A 15,083-nucleotide genomic window follows, 5' to 3' on the forward strand; every position below is an offset into this window, starting at 1 on the left:
AGACGCCCGGCGCAGCGGGAGCGGCGGGGCGTGCCTGGCCTGCGGGACGCGACTGATCGCAGTGGGGCGAAGCGGGGCCGGAGCCGCCCGCGGTCAGGTGGGTGCCGGGAGTGGGGCGCGGGACTCTCGGAGAGCCGCGATGATGGGGGGCGGGGGCAACCCTGGGCCCGCTCGCCCTGAGACGGGGAAGGGCCTTGGGGCTCCCGGATGCCCCCTGCCCCGTCCTGGGGCTCTCCGGGATCTGGAGGCCTGGCTGGGGTCCCATGCCCCCCACCCCAGCGCAGGTAAACAGCGAGGACGGGGCGGGGCCTGGGAGGGAGAGGGAGGGGGCCCTTGTGACTGCGGGTGAGCCTGGTGCGCGGGGCTGGGCAGGCCAGGGTAAGTTGGTGCGGCTTGCGGGGCTGGGCCACGATGGGAGTCTCCTGCCTGCCTGTGTTTGTGTGTGTGTGTGTGTGTGTGTGTGTGGCTTTGCGTGTGTGTAAGAGAGTGTGTCAGGCTGTGGGTATGAGGGTGAAAGCGACTGTCCGTGTAACCCTGTGATGGGACTGTGTGTATGATGTGACACTTTTAGCAATGTGAAAACGTGGGCGACCTCTGACTGGAATGGTGTGTGTGTAGAATTGGATTGCTGGTAGCACTTTACGACCAAGAGCTAGTGCGACTGTAGTCGACTTTCTGCTTGGCCTGATGTGCATGTGTGTGGCTGTGTGTGTGGCTGTCTTCATGGCAGAGAGTGGAACTGGTTGTAGGATTAGGTGTGATTGACCAAGAGGCTGTGCGGCTGTGGTTGTCTTTCTGCCTGTTGGTGTGTGTGTGTGTGTGTGTGTGTGCGCGCGCGCGTGTGGTGGACAGTGTGGCACTGGATCAGTGATAGGTGACTATGATTGACTTTTGATTGTGTGTCACTGTGATGGTGCATGGGGCTGGGCGGAACTGTGTCCAGAAGTGGAGCTGTTTCATGGGACGGTGCGCGTGGAACCTTGGGGTTGGATGAGTGAGGTGTGGAGGTGTGTGAAGCCGTGTGTGCGTGTGTGTGTGTGTGTGTGTGTGTGTAGAGAGGAACTAGAGGGTGTGTGATCTGCATTGATACCGTGGCTGGCAGTGGTGTGCAACGGAGAGTTTGTGGGAGATGGGAGTGGAGACGTGGACATTTAAGTGGGATGCTCCTCCAAGCGGGTGACAGGATGGAAAAGGGGGTCCGCGTCAGGGATCAGTGTGTGGGACTGTGCCTATGATTATCAGCTGTGCGGTTGTGCACCCGGGGCTCTGTGTGAGTGTGGGAGCTGCTGTGTGTCTGGGACACAGCCCGAGTGCTGGATGGCTGTGGTTGAGCCGTGTTTGTTGCTGTGGTTGTCAATCTGGCTGTGGAGTGGTGTGTGTAAGGCTGTGTCTGAGGTTATAGAGGGAGGTTTTACATCGGCAAAATTGTGTGAAGAATGGTTGTGGTTGTCAGGATGACTCTTGAACCTGTGTGGTTGTGAGTTCAACCATTTATGATGTTTGTGTGTGAGGTGTGAGAATAGGTATGGTGTGATATACACAAGCACACAGATTGGCCGGGTGCAGTGGCTCATACCTGTAATCTCAACACTTTGGGAGGCTGAGGCGGCGGGGATTGCTTGAACCCAGGAATCCTAGACTAGCCTGGGCAATATGGTGATACCCCGTCTCTACAAAAACAAAAATTAGCTGGGCATAGTTTAGTTTTTTAAAAATTAAAAAAAGGTTGGCTGGGCGCGGTAGCTCACGCCTGTAATCCCAGCACTTTGGGAGGCCAAGGGGGGAGCGGGTGGATCATTTGAGGTCAGGAGTTTGAGACCAGCCCGGCCAACATGGTGAAACCCCGTCTGTACTAAAAATACAAAAATTAGCCAGGTGTGGTGGCGGGCACCTGTAATTCCAGCTACTTGGGAGGGTGAGGGAGGAGAATCGCTTGAACCTGGGGAGGTGGAGATCGCAGTGAGCCAACATCATGCCATTGCACTCCAGTCTGGGCAACAGAGCGAGACTCAGTCTCAAAAAAATAAAATTAAATTTTTTAAAGGTTGATATATACATCACATATATACACATACATATATCTAGAGAGAGGGAGAGATCAATGACGATCAAGTCTGTGGTGCACAAAACGTACAGGACCCTTACTGTATGTGATCGTGCATGTACAACATGTGCAAAAACCGCTGGGCTGCTTATGGTGGATGCAGTGGCTTGAGTGAAGTGTGCGAGAACGTGGCATCCCTCCACGCGTATTCACAGCTCTCTGTTCCGACAGTGGAGCTGAATCTGAGTACTTGTGTGTGCATGGCGTGTAGGTGTGGGAGTCCCTGCTGGCCAGGCCTGGAGTGGGAGGGAGAGGAAGTAGGGAAACTGGCGAGGGATCCATAGTGAATCTTGGGAGTGTGTGCATCTGGAGGTGCGTTGGGCACATTGTGGGGAGTTGGCTGCTTGGGAGCCATGTGAGTTCGGGGGACAGCGAGTGTCACGGTCAAGTGCAAGGAGATGGTCTGAATGTGAGTGATTTGGGGAGTGGGAGAGACAGAGTTAGTTTCTGCGTGGGTTGGCTTTTCTTTCTTTTTTTTAAATAATATTATCACTTTTTGACACGGAGTTTTGCTCTTGTCACCCAGGCTGGAGTGTGGTGGCGTGATCTTGGCTCACTGCAACCTCCGCCTCTCAGGTTCAAGCAATTCTCATGCCTCAGCCTCATGAGTAGCTGGGGACTACAGGCGCATACCACCATGCCTGGCTAATTTTGTATTTTTAGTAGAGCCGGGGTTTCACCATGTTGGCCAGGCCAGTCTCAAACTCCTGACCTCAACTGATCCACCCACCTCGGCCTCCCAAAGTGCTGGGATTACAGGCGTGAGCCACCGCGCCCAGGCTTGGTTTTTATTTCTAAGAGAATATACCTGTGTGTTGGGAGTGTATACAGATTGTTTTTGAAAGAATAGTATATGTGTGTGCCTGAGTCAGTGTGTTGTCTTAGGTTGTATTTCTAAAAGGAAAATGTAAATGTTTTTACTGAGTTGTATATTTAATAGGAGAAAGTGAGTGCGTGTTCTAAGAGGAGAATGTATATTATGCTGTCCTTTCTTTCTTTCTTTTTTGACTGGGTCTTACTCTTTCACCCAGGCTGAGTGCAGTGGCACTATCATGGCTCACTGCAGCTTCAACCTCCTGGGTTCAAGCAATCCTTCTACCTCAGCCTCCAGGTACACCATCACCACACCCAGCTAATTTTTTTATTTTTATTTTTGTAGGGATGGGGTCTCACTATGTTTCCCAGGCTGGTCTTGAACTCCTGGGCTCAAGTGATCCTCCTGCCTCAGCCAAAATCCCAAAGTGCTCGGAGTACAGGTGTGAGCCACCGCACCCGGCCTACATTGTGTTTCTAATGAGGGAGTGTGTGTGTGTGTGTGTGTGTGTAACTGTATTTCTGGGAGGGTGTGTGTGTGTACCGTCTTTTTTTTTTTTTTTTTTAAATGAAGTCTCACTCTGTTGCCCAGGCTGGATTGCAGTGGTGCGACCTTGGCTCACTGCAACCTCCGCCTCCCGGGTTCAAGCAATTCTCCTGCCTCAGCCTCCCAAGTAGCTGGGACTACAGGCATGCGCCACCATGCTCTGCTATTTTTTTTTTTTTTTTTCCAGTAGAGACAGGGTTTCACCCTGTTGGCCAGGCTGGTCTTGAACTCTTGGCCTCAAGTGATTTACCCACCTTGGCCTCCCAAAGTGCTGGCATTACAGGCGTGAGCCACTACACCTGGCCCCATGTTGTATTGGAGAGAAGGGAGAGTGCGTGTGTGTGTCAAATTGTATTTCGGAGAGGAAAATGTGTATGTTGCATTGTGTCTTTAAGAAGGGAGGGTGCGGGTGTGTGAGGTGTTTCTGAGGAGTGTGTTTGTGTGTATATGAGGACCCCAGAGGCACCACCAGCTAAGTTTCTGTGACCTTGTCACCCACATACAACCACATGAAGTCCCATAGAGGGGGGCCCCCACCCACTATGAGCTGGGCTTCAGACTCTCAGCTGTCACATGGCCAGTGTGACATACCTGGACCACACCTATCACACGTGTGTCCCGACAGGCCCTGGGCTGGCTAAGCTTGTCCGATGGAGGAGGGCGGAGCCCCTGTTCCCCCAGGGTCCATCTGTTGCCTGGGAGCCAACACATGGCCCCATCCTCATTCCCCCCAACCTAGAGGCCTCCTGGGCTTCTGGGGGCCCTGGCCCCTCGGCCCTCTCCTCCCACCCCACCCACCCCCAGTGGTCTGACTGGTTCCCGACAAAAACACCCTAAGAATGAGCTCACGCAGAGGCTGCCGCCTCCACACGCCCCGCCTCACTCTGCCGGCAGAGGAGGGTGCCTCTGGTCCCAGGTCACACGGCCAACCGGGAGCTCTGGGCCAGGGGATCCAAGGGCCTTGGGGTGGGGAAGGCTGGCCAGGTGAGCTGAGGGCAGATGGGGGACCCCAGGCTAGCTGTTTGCTTTCTCTTGGTTAATTACACATAGGATTTGGGAACTGTCCTCAGGGCAGAACCCTGGGTTGGGAGGACAGACGAAGGTAGACAAGACTGTTCCAGATGAGAGCTGGCTGGGATGGGTGTGGAGACTGGGATGGAGAGGGTGTGGAGGCAGAGGGCTGGCCAGGATGGGTGGAGCAGGGAAGAGCCAGGATGGGGAGAAGTTAGGGGTCCTGATGGCCATTATGGGAATAGAGGCTGGGGGCCAACTGACTGGCCCGGGCAATGATTCCCCAAACCCCTCACCATTGCTCCCCAGGAGCAGCAATGTCTGTGCAGGTAGCGGCTCCTGGAAGTGCAGGGCTGGGCCCAGAGCGCCTGAGCCCTGAGGAGCTGGTGCGGCAGACGCGGCAAGTGGTCCAGGGGCTGGAGGCGCTGCGGGCAGAGCACCATGGCCTGGCTGGGCACCTGGCGGAGGCCCTGGCGGGACAGGGCCCGGCAGCCGGCTTGGAGATGCTGGAGGAAAAGCAGCAGGTGGTGAGCCACTCGCTGGAGGCCATCGAGCTGGGGCTGGGCGAGGCCCAGGTATGAGGGGGCCAGGTGGGGAGCTGGGGGAAGGTCAGCTGAGGGCGGAGGGAGGGCCAGGCATGAGGGGGACAGGTATGTAGGGGACTGGGAGAGGGTTCACTATTGCAGAGGGGCACACTTTGGGAGGCTGAGGTGGGCAGATCACTTGAGGTCAGGAGTTCAAGACCAGCCTGGCCAACATGGGAAAACCCCATCTCTACTAAAAATACAAAAAGTAGCTGGGCATGAGGGCTCCTGTAATCCCGGCTACTCAGGAGGCTGAGGCATGAGAATCGCTTGAACCTGGGAGGCGGAGGTTGCAGTGAGTGGAGATCGTGCCATTCCACTCCAGTCTGGGTGACAGAGAGAGACTGTCCCAAAAAACAACAGAAAAAAGTATGGCAGAGAGGCACATCCGGGGCAGGGGGAGGCCTAGGGGAACCAGGCCTGGGAAGGGGAGGCTCCAGGTCAGAGATGGAGTCCCTTGGCAGCTTTAGGGGGTCCTTGTGTGTGACAGGGACCCCTGAACCAGATGGCATTCTTCAGTAAACTGTGGGTCCTAGGGCAAGTTTGGGGGTAAAATCAGAGGGGCCCCTGGGAGCCTCTGAGGGCACTGGGGCCATGTTGGCAGAGTCTCTGCAGAATCTGGGGGTGTCGTGCATAGTAGTGGGGTGCTACGGCCTGACTCGAGGCCTGGGCTGGGTCAGGGGCCGTCTGGCAGGGCAGGAACCAACCTCGACTTGGGACCCCCACCCCGGGCAGGTGCTGCTGGCCCTGTCGGCACATGTGGGTGCACTGGAGGCAGAGAAGCAGCGGCTGCGCTCGCAGGCCCGGCGGCTGGCCCAGGAGAACGTGTGGCTGCGGGAGGAACTGGAGGAGACGCAGCGGCGGCTTCGGGCCAGCGAGGAGTCCGTGGCCCAGCTGGAGGAGGAGAAGCGCCACCTGGAGTTCCTGGGGCAGCTGCGACAGTACGACCCACCGGCGGAGAGCCAGGTGCCACGGGCAGGGCGAGGCGGGGGGTGCTGGGCCCTTCATAGAGCCCCACAGTCCCCCAGACCCTCCTTAGAATCCCACAGTCCCCAAGATCCTCCTTAGAATCCCACAGTCCCCCAGACCCTCCTTAGAATGCCACAGTCCCCCAACCCTCCACAGAGCCCCCAGACCCACCAGAACTTCCACAGACGCCCCCACTAGCTACTCCACGAAGCCCCCGAGCCTCGCCAGACCCCCAGGGGGCCTCTGACGCTCGTGACCACCACCTCCCTCAAACCTTGAGATAGGCTGGGTGCGGTGGCTCACGCCTGTAATCCCAACACTTTGGGAGGCCGAGGCGAGCAGATCACCTGAGGTCCGGATTTCAAGACCAGCATGACCAACATGGAGAAACCCCGTCTCTACTAAAAATACAAAATTAGCCGGGTGTGGTGGCACATGCCTGTAATCCCAGCTACTCCGGAAGCTGAGGCAGGAGAATGGCTTGAACCCAGGAGGTGGAGGTTGCTGTGAGCCAAGATCGCACCATTGCACTCCAGCCTGTGCAACAAGCGAAACTCCGTCTCAAAAAAAAAAAAAAAACAAAAAAACAAAAACCTGAGATAGAGCCAGGGCCCCGGTCTCTGAAACAAGCCCCCACCACCCCGGCCCCCCACTTTCCTGTCTCTGCAGCAGTCTGAGTCCCCGCCTCGCCGAGACAGCCTGGCCTCCCTGTTCCCCAGCGAGGAGGAGGAGAGGAAAGGTGGGTGTTGGGAGTACATGCCACAGAGGATGGCAGGCCAGGGTGGGGAGGGGGCTCTGAGCTGCAGGACCCCAAAATCTCTGAGCCAGGGGATGGGGAGGTGAGGGCAGGGTGAGGAGGACCCTGAATGTGACAGTGCAGGTGAGGCTGGGAGCCACAAAGACAGGGTAGCCGCTATGAGCCTGGCAGGCCCCGTATTCACATCCCACAGGGCAGGTGGGCTGCCGTGTTCCTGTCCCGAGGCCAGGATGCATCCCACCAGCTGGTTAGATGCTAGTGACTCCTATCTCAGAAGTTAGCGTGGGGGCCCATAGTCCCAGGGGCCAGTTAGGCAGTCCGGCAGTTCTGAGGCACGTGTCCCCTCATGCGAGGCTGGAGGGGCAGGAGGCTTGCAGTGACCCAGAGCCCACCCCACCCCACCTAGGTCCTGAGGCCGCAGGAGCAGCAGCTGCTCAGCAGGGTGGCTATGAGATCCCTGCCCGCCTTCGGACCCTGCATAACCTCGTGATCCAGTACGCGGGGCAGGGCCGCTATGAGGTGGCGGTGCCTCTGTGCCGCCAGGCCTTGGAGGACCTGGAGCGCAGCTCGGGCCACTGCCACCCTGACGTGGCCACCATGCTCAACATCCTGGCGCTGGTGTACCGGTGAGCACTGCGGCCAGCCATGGCTGGGGGCAGGAACGGCAGGGACCCATTGGGTGCAAGTGGAAGGATCCTGGTGCCCCCTCTGTCACCATGGAGCACCTAGGGAGGTCAGGGGAGGGGACAGCAAGAATGGGAAAGGAAGGGAAGGCTCCTGCTGTGAGAACGGCAAAGAGGGAGTGGGACAGGGATCTGGGGGGGCCACTGAGCCAGGCAGAGAGGAGTCAGAGAGCACGGACACCAGGGACCCCAACAGAGCAGGCAGGAGACCTGGGGTGGCTAGAAGCTTGGCAGAGGTCTGGGGGTACAGGGCCCAGTGTTAGAGAATTGCGAAATATGGAGGGGCCCACAAAAGGCCCTCAAAGGGTGTGCCACCCATGCTTGGTTCAGCCAGGTTCCCTGGGCCTGTCAGGATTGGCCCAGCCCCTGTGGCTGCAGCTGCCCCAACCCTTGGCTAACCCCCTCCATTCCTGGGGCGCCCCCCACAGGGACCAGAACAAGTACAAAGAAGCCACAGACCTTCTCCATGATGCCCTGCAGATCCGGGAGCAGACGCTGGGCCCTGAGCACCCCGCGGTGAGTGGGGCCCCAGGGAGACGAAGTGGGGTCAAAGTGGGGCCACACCTGCCCATCCCTGACCTGTGCCTCCCCCAACCCCGCAGGTGGCCGCCACGCTCAACAACTTGGCTGTCCTCTATGGGAAGCGTGGGCGTTACCGGGAGGCAGAGCCCCTGTGCCAGCGCGCTTTGGAGATCCGAGAGAAGGTCCCATCCCCCTCACCCCACCCCGAGGAACCCCTTGTCCCATGTAGCCCTCCCCAGGGATGCTGAGCACGTACATCGTGACCCTGACCCTCGGGCCCCTTGCGTTTGGTATTGGGAGACCCCAGTTGGAGCCTAGATCACCCAACCCATCACCCTTGACCTTCTGAGATCCCAGTTTGGTCTTGACCCTGACTGACCTCTCGCCTTACCTCACACATCACCCTCCAACTGGGTCCCCCCATAGCCTTTCCAACCCCTCATGGCCACCAGCACAAGCCCAACCCTGACCTACCCATCTCACCCTGTGCCCCACGTTTCTGGACCACCATGACCTCTGACCTTGGTAATCCCGTTAGATGGTATAACTTGTGTCCCCAGCCCCCAACCTCTCAGGTCACTCTCTGCTTTGACCCTGTAATCCCCAACTCATGACCACCATACAGCAGTGATGTCACGTGTCCCACCAATCCTGTATGATCCCTCTGACTTGTGACCCCTGGCCCCCAGGTCCTGGGTGCTGACCACCCAGATGTGGCCAAGCAGCTCAACAACCTGGCCCTGCTGTGCCAGAACCAGGGCAAGTTTGAGGACGTGGAGCGGCACTATGCCCGGGCCCTGAGCATCTATGAGGCACTGGGCGGGCCCCATGACCCCAACGTGGCCAAGACCAAGAACAACCTGGTGAGGCCCCTGGGGCTCAGAGTGGGCCAAGAGTGGAGGGTCCTGCCCTGGGGAGGCACCCATTGGTTGGATACAGGGTGAGCAACGTGAGGGTGGGGGGGGGCCCCCCAGGCCGGGCCCTTGGAGCAAGTGTCAGACACAGGAGCTGGCTCAGCACAGAACACGGAATCAGGAAACGCGTAAGTCCACGGCAGCCAGAGGACAGCCAGTGAAGCGGAAGCTGGCAGGCACAGGTGGCAGCAGCAGACATTTATTGAGCTCACTGTGGCCGGCTCCCCTCTTAGCCCGGTCCCCACATCGCTAGTTCTTATAGCGTCCCTATGAGGTGGGAGCTGTCGCTCCACTTTGCGTGTGGGAAGACTGAGGCACCGAGGCCATGCCACCAGCCCAAAGTACAGCAGACAGGCTCAGAAACAGGAGGCTGCCTGTCCTCCATCCCCAGGGCAGGAAGTAAGGCCGAGCTCCAAACCCACTCTGCCCCAGGGCAAGGCTTTAGGCAGGGGAAGGATACGGCCAGGTCAGCACATTAGAAAGTGGGGCCAGACGTGGTGGTTCACGCTTGTAACCCCAACACTTTGGGAGGCCAAGGCAGGAGGATCACTTGAGGCTAGGAGTTCAAGACCAGCCTGGGCAACATACCAAGACCCCTGTCTCTACAAAAAAAAAAAAAAAGGCGGGACTGGATGCAGTGTTGGGAACTGGGGTCCGAAAAGTTCCCAGACACTCCCTTCTCCGCAGGCCTCAGCCTACCTGAAACAGAACAAGTATCAACAAGCGGAAGAGCTGTACAAAGAAATCCTCCACAAGGAGGACCTACCCGCCCCTCTCGGTGAGCCCCTAGCCCCTGTCTGTCTTCCCTCCTGGTGGCTTCTCTATGTCCCCATCTCAGTGTCCCCCATCTTTCCCCCTAGGTGCCCCCAACACAGGCACAGCTGGTGACGCAGAACAGGTGAGGATGGGCTGTGCTTCGGCTCCTGGGGTGGGCGTGGGGACTGCATGGGCCTGGGGGACTGAGCAGCATCCCCGGCCCCTCCCCAGGCCCTTCGCCGCAGCAGCTCACTCTCCAAGATCCGTGAGTCTATCAGGCGAGGAAGTGAGAAGCTGGTCTCCCGGCTCCGAGGCGAGGCGGCGGCAGGAGCAGCCGGGTGAGTGTTGATCAGGTCGGCAAAGAGCCCTGACATCAGCAGAATCCACAGCCCACCCCACCCCCACCCCCATCTTGCTCAAGAACCTTCCATGGCTCCCATCTCCCCTGTGATACACACAGATCAAACCCTGTGCTGGAAAGGTCCCTCGTGGAGGGGGGCCACTCCTGGATTCACTCATTTCCTCCCTGCTGCCCTCTTTGCAGAATGAAGAGAGCCATGTCACTCAACACACTGAACGTGGATGCTCCAAGGGCTCCTGGGACTCAGGTGAGGGGGACATCTGGGTCAAAAATAGAGGAGGCCATGTGGGTAGGTGCAGAGATGAGGCAAAGGCAGGGCGGTCGGGCCAGTGGTGGAGTCAGCAGGTGGTGGGTTGGTGTCAGAAGAGACCCAGGACAGGAGCAAAGATGGGTTTTACTTGGGGTAGAGGCGAGGGGGTTGGATAGTTGGCTGCCAGGCTGGACCTGGAGCTGGAGGGTGGATGTAACACTTGCCCCTCACCTCCCCTCCAACCATCCCCTGTGCCTGTCTCCAGTTTCCCAGCTGGCACCTGGACAAGGCCCCTCGGACCCTCAGCGCCAGCACCCAGGACCTGAGCCCCCACTAACGTCCAGTGAACTGCGCTGGCCGCAGCTTCTTGGGAACAGTGCAGGAGGGATGGGCTGGTGGGGTGAGAGGGGGTCTATCATCTCCTGGCCCCCCCTTGCCTCTGGGTACCTGGTGGATAGCTGCCTTCTCCTGCGATTAAAGGCTGTGGACGTGACAGTGAGAAATGTCACCTGACTTCATAAGACCTTCTAGCACCACCGCCGCTGGGAACCAGGGCCAGGCAAGACTCAGGAGTCACCAGGAACCGTTTATGGCCCCACCCGCCCCACTCAGAGCTGCTGAGCAATCTGCTCTATCCTCTTCAGCGTCTCCTCTGATTCTAGCTGCTCCAGGCTGAGCAGGGACAGGCCCAGCTGATCCTCCTGCAGAGAACAGAGGAAAGGGAGAGGGGGGCACTGTTGGGCAGGGGCCCAGGCAGCTGCTGCACTTCCCCAACCACCCCCCCGAATGGCCAGTAGGGACAGGATGTTTGAATGAATTTGGAGATGTCCGTATAATCCAGAGCGGGCCATCCCTGTCAACATAAGATGGGGCTGAGGGAGGAGCCAGCTAGGGAGTCGGAGAAGGACCGGCTTTCTCCAGGCCAGCACCGTCTCTCCTGAAAACGCCCAATGCCTCCTCACCCCAACTTCTCTCACCCTGCCGTGCCTGGGCCACCTGCTGGCATCTGTGGCCCCTCGAATCTCCCCCTTCCCCCCAGAGCCTGGCACGTAGATGCACGATAAACTTCTCTTTGCTGAGGGCAGGAGGACAGGCAGGCTGAGGGTGGGGAGTGGGGAGAATCCAAGGGGACTTTCTGGAGGAGAAGCTCAGCCTGGGAGGGTGCCGGGAGGGGGACGCAGGCCTCACCCGGTGGAAGGGCTGTGCCATCTGCCGCAGGAAGTACTTGGCCACCTGGACACCCTCGTCCACGGTCAGGTTGAGGTTGGCATCTGTGAGGTGCTCCTGGATCCAGCGGGGCAGCTTCCCCCGCTTGTCCCCACGGGCAAACCGCTGTGGGCAGAAGCGCAGGCCAGGGACAGAAGGTCATTCGGGGAGCCTGGGCCACTCTCCACCCTGCAACCCACCCCACCTGGGAAATGAACGGGAAACAGCCTGGTTCTTGGAGCCTGGGATGGGAGCACAGGGGCACCCCTGAAGCTGCACCTTGTCGGCAAAGACCATGAGGCCGTAGTCCGTCTTGCCCCTGATGGCCCGACCCACACACTGGGCCGCGTGGCGCATGGCATCGAAGGTAAGAAAGTCATTCTCACGAATCTGGAACTGGTCCCGCAGGTATTCCAGCCGCGCCTGCAGATACGGAGGATGAGAAGCTGGGGAGGTGGGGGAGCCACTCCTCCCTTGATCCTAACACTGTGGGACTCCCTGGGAGACAGAGCTACTCACCTTGAGAATGCGGCTCTGTGTGTAGACGTAGGGGACGCCAAACATGATGACGGCCCGCCCGTAGTGGTGCACTGGTGGGCAGAGGAGAGGGGGCGAGGGGGGTTACAAGTGTGGCTGGTGGGACAGGGACAGCCTCACGCGACCCAGGATGCTGTGTCTGAGTTGGGGGGAGAGGGTGTGTTCCCGCCGGGTGCCTAGGGACAGAGGGGAGGGGAGGGCCCCTCTGTGCACCTAGGCTGGGGGTGGGTGGTTCCCCGCGGGAGCAGACAGCAGAGCGGGCAGGTGTTCCAGAGAGCTCTGGGAAGACACCTGGGGAGGAAGAGCCCAGTCCACTCACCAAAGTCGATTCCCTCGGACACTTTGCCCCGGGCCACTGACAGCAGGATGGCCCCGCGGCCATTCTCGCAGGCCTGAGGTGGGGAGACCGAGACGCAAGTTAGGTCACTCCTCAGAGCCACCTCCCCGACCCCTCTCCACGCTGGCCTCGCACACCCACCTCCTGGTACTTCTCCAGGGCGACACTGGTTTCGGCACCATCCTGGGTCTCAATAAAGAGCAGCTTGTTCCTCTGGATGTTCTCAAGGATCCCCTGGGGAAGGACCCAGGGAGGTCAGGGTGGGTTCAGGGCACAGCCATCCTGGTTACATCCAACTCTTCTGGGGACTCCCACATCACCATGTCTCTGGGCCTCAGCTGGCTCATCTGAGATGTGGTGAGGGAGGGTGGAATTGTCCAACCTCAGTTCTTTGGGGAAACAGTGATCTGGGTGGGGAACCAATCATTGCTGGATAAGTGGGGCAGGCATGTGGCCCAAGCGGGTGGCCAATCAGGGCACCCCAACCCCTGCCAGCGATTGGTGGAGGGGCTGACTGTGAGGCAGGCAGAGCCAATCAGAGGCTGCCCTGAGACTTCCCATATGACACTACAATAGAGACAGTGTGGAGCCAATGCAAGGACAGACCACTGGGACAGAATGGAGAGTCCAGAAACACACAGCCACCTGTGCAGTTCAGTGGGGAGAGCTTTTACTGGAGCAAGTGGATTTTCAAATGGAACCAAAAAATGAACCTTGACCCCCTACTTCACACCACATAGAAAGATGAATTTGAGGTACCTCATAGACCTGGATGTGAAAGCTAAAACCACAAGCTCCTAGAAGGAAACAAAGGAGCCTCTCTCTATGACCTTGGGGTAGGCAAAGGTGTCTTAAGTAGGACACAAAAGGCACCTGCGCTGTGGGGACTGGGTCACCTTTCCCGCCGCGTGGAAGCCGCCTATTGAAGCACAAGGCCGATGTCCTGGCTGTGAGGATGACGTTCCCGCCTCCCATGCGTGCCTTTCCAATACCTGGATTAGCCAAGTTCACTCACCTCACCCCAAAGTGCTTTCACCCACTCCTGAGAGCCCGGCCATGGTGTGCTCAGAGGCACAAAGTGCAGAGTGGCCTCCCCTCCCACCCATGTCCTGCTGGTCACCCAGGGCCTGGCTGTGGTGAGCCCTGTTTCCAGAATGCCCCACGACCTCCTCTAGCTGCTTCCCTGAAGGGGCTCCTGCAGACCCTTGAGAGGCTCGCCCCGAGTCTTGGTCCAGCCTTAATTCTCTAGAATTCCTCTAACCCAGCTAGAGCCACGCCTGCTATCTGGGCCTCCCCACCAGGCCATCTGTGCTGGAGGATAACAGGGATGGGTAACCCCAAAAGCAGCAGAGAAGCAAGGAACCTAGAACGTGGGGGTGACTCTGCCACAGGGTACTCCTCTGAGGGAGGGGCCCACATTGGGGCTTATATCTGCATTCTCAGCCTGATGTACTGGGGGCGGGGCATGGGGGTGTGTGCTGCTTACACCCCATTCCTACATGCTGCACACACTCTCCTGTCACACAGGAAACCTGTCACCATCAGAGTGTGAGAGGAATGAAGCTGACATAGCGGTGCAGTGCCAGGGACTGAGGAGAGCAGGTGCAGGGAGGGGGTGGCCAGGCGTACCTGCTCATACCAGGAGGCCACGGTGCTCTCCATGTACTGGTAGCTGGTGAAGAAGGCCACGATGCCATCAGGGACCACAGCGGACATCTCCAGCAGGAGGTTCCCATAGTTCCGGATCACAGCTGCAAGGGGTCAGAGGTTGGGCCCTCTCCTGGCCCAGGTCCTCCTCCCTTCTCTGTCTTAGAACTAGGAGTTTCTGGAAACCCCACTGAGGCTGCCTGTCAGGCTTTTCACACATATCCCCCTCCTCCTCCTCCCGGGCGTGTCTGAGGACCCGCCTTGCCACTTCCTGAAGTCACACCTGGCTATGTGATTTGCCATGGCCAATGAAATGAGTGCAGAAGGGGCCGGGCGCTGTGGCTCACGCCTGTAATCCCAGCACTTTGGGAGGCCGAGGCGGGTGGATCATCTGAAGTCAGGAGTTTGAGATCAGCCTGGCCAACATGGCGAAACCCCATCTCTACTAAAAATACAAAAATTAGCCCAGCGTGGCGGCAGAGGCCTGTAATCCCAGCTACTCGGGAGGCTGAGGCATGAGAATCGCTTGAACCCGCAAGGCAGAGACTGCAGTGAGCCGAGATCATGCCACTGCACTCCAGCCTAGGCAACAGAGCAAGACTCTGTCTCAAAAAAAGGCCATGTGTCACTTCCAGGGGAGCACCCTTAGGAACCAGTGCACAATACACTGTGACCACTGTGATCCCACCTGTCACATTATGCTGCCTCTGACACACCCAGCGGTGGAGGTTCCCAGGTGAGGAGACACAGGGCAGGCCCCTACCAGCTCACAGTGGACGTGTACCACGGGCAAGAAGGAAACTCTGGGCTGAGCAACTAAGGCCAGGGATATTTGTTACAGCAGCATGACTCAGCCCACCTGACTGATACACCTCCCCTCTTGGAACCCACAGAAACCAGCCCCACTGGCAGCATACCAATATCCTCCCGGGTCTCAAATTTGGAGCTGATGGCCACCTGGTCATTGCCACGGCCGATGATCTGGAGAGCAACAGAGGTCACGATAAGCGAGGCAGCAGCAACTGCTCCAGCGTGAGTGCTGACCACCTGCTGGTGCTGTTCTAAGCTTTTTTTTTTTTTTTTTT

At 58.5% G+C, this 15,083-nt stretch overlaps 2 protein-coding genes across 8 annotated transcripts in view, besides 1 other annotated feature; one reads left to right on the forward strand and one right to left on the reverse strand.

Annotated features, from left to right (window-relative positions):
* KLC3 (kinesin light chain 3) lies at positions 1–10,770 on the forward strand. The gene is made up of 13 exons (NM_177417.3): positions 1–97; positions 4,785–5,050; positions 5,795–6,025; positions 6,698–6,767; positions 7,192–7,411; positions 7,897–7,984; positions 8,071–8,172; positions 8,680–8,853; positions 9,592–9,682; positions 9,765–9,802; positions 9,892–9,998; positions 10,205–10,268; positions 10,537–10,770. The coding sequence occupies exons 2-13, from the start codon at positions 4,793–4,795 to the stop codon at positions 10,606–10,608; spliced, it is 1,515 nt and encodes a 504-aa protein (NP_803136.2). The 5' UTR covers positions 1–97; positions 4,785–4,792; the 3' UTR covers positions 10,609–10,770.
* Positions 5,782–6,076: a silencer, noted in NCBI's record as "tiled region #10062; HepG2 Repressive DNase matched - State 4:PromP". NCBI's record gives its function as "represses a minimal TATA promoter and a strong SV40 promoter by Sharpr-MPRA in HepG2 cells {active_cell/tissue: HepG2}" and the evidence as "EXISTENCE:reporter gene assay evidence [ECO:0000049][PMID:27701403]".
* Positions 9,088–15,083, reverse strand: part of ERCC2 (ERCC excision repair 2, TFIIH core complex helicase subunit) — a 20,737-nt gene continuing 14,741 nt past the window's right edge. For 4 of the 7 annotated variants that reach the window (NM_001440357.1, NM_001440356.1, NM_000400.4 and 1 more), the window contains 8 exons: positions 14,916–14,979; positions 13,981–14,102; positions 12,493–12,585; positions 12,334–12,406; positions 11,997–12,067; positions 11,757–11,900; positions 11,460–11,603; positions 9,088–10,972 (listed from right to left, as the gene is read on the reverse strand). In NM_001440357.1, the coding sequence (NP_001427286.1) occupies positions 10,880–10,972; positions 11,460–11,603; positions 11,757–11,900; positions 11,997–12,067; positions 12,334–12,406; positions 12,493–12,585; positions 13,981–14,102; positions 14,916–14,979 (804 nt within the window). In that variant the 3' untranslated portion in view covers positions 9,088–10,879. The remainder of the gene's footprint in view (positions 10,973–11,459; positions 11,604–11,756; positions 11,901–11,996; positions 12,068–12,333; positions 12,407–12,492; positions 12,586–13,980; positions 14,103–14,915; positions 14,980–15,083) is intronic. The other 3 variants (NR_199647.1, NR_199646.1, NR_199645.1) reach the window with 2 other exon arrangements.

This window comes from Homo sapiens, chromosome 19 (genome assembly GCF_000001405.40).
Source record: "Homo sapiens chromosome 19, GRCh38.p14 Primary Assembly".
NCBI classification, from domain to species: domain Eukaryota; kingdom Metazoa; phylum Chordata; class Mammalia; order Primates; family Hominidae; genus Homo; species Homo sapiens.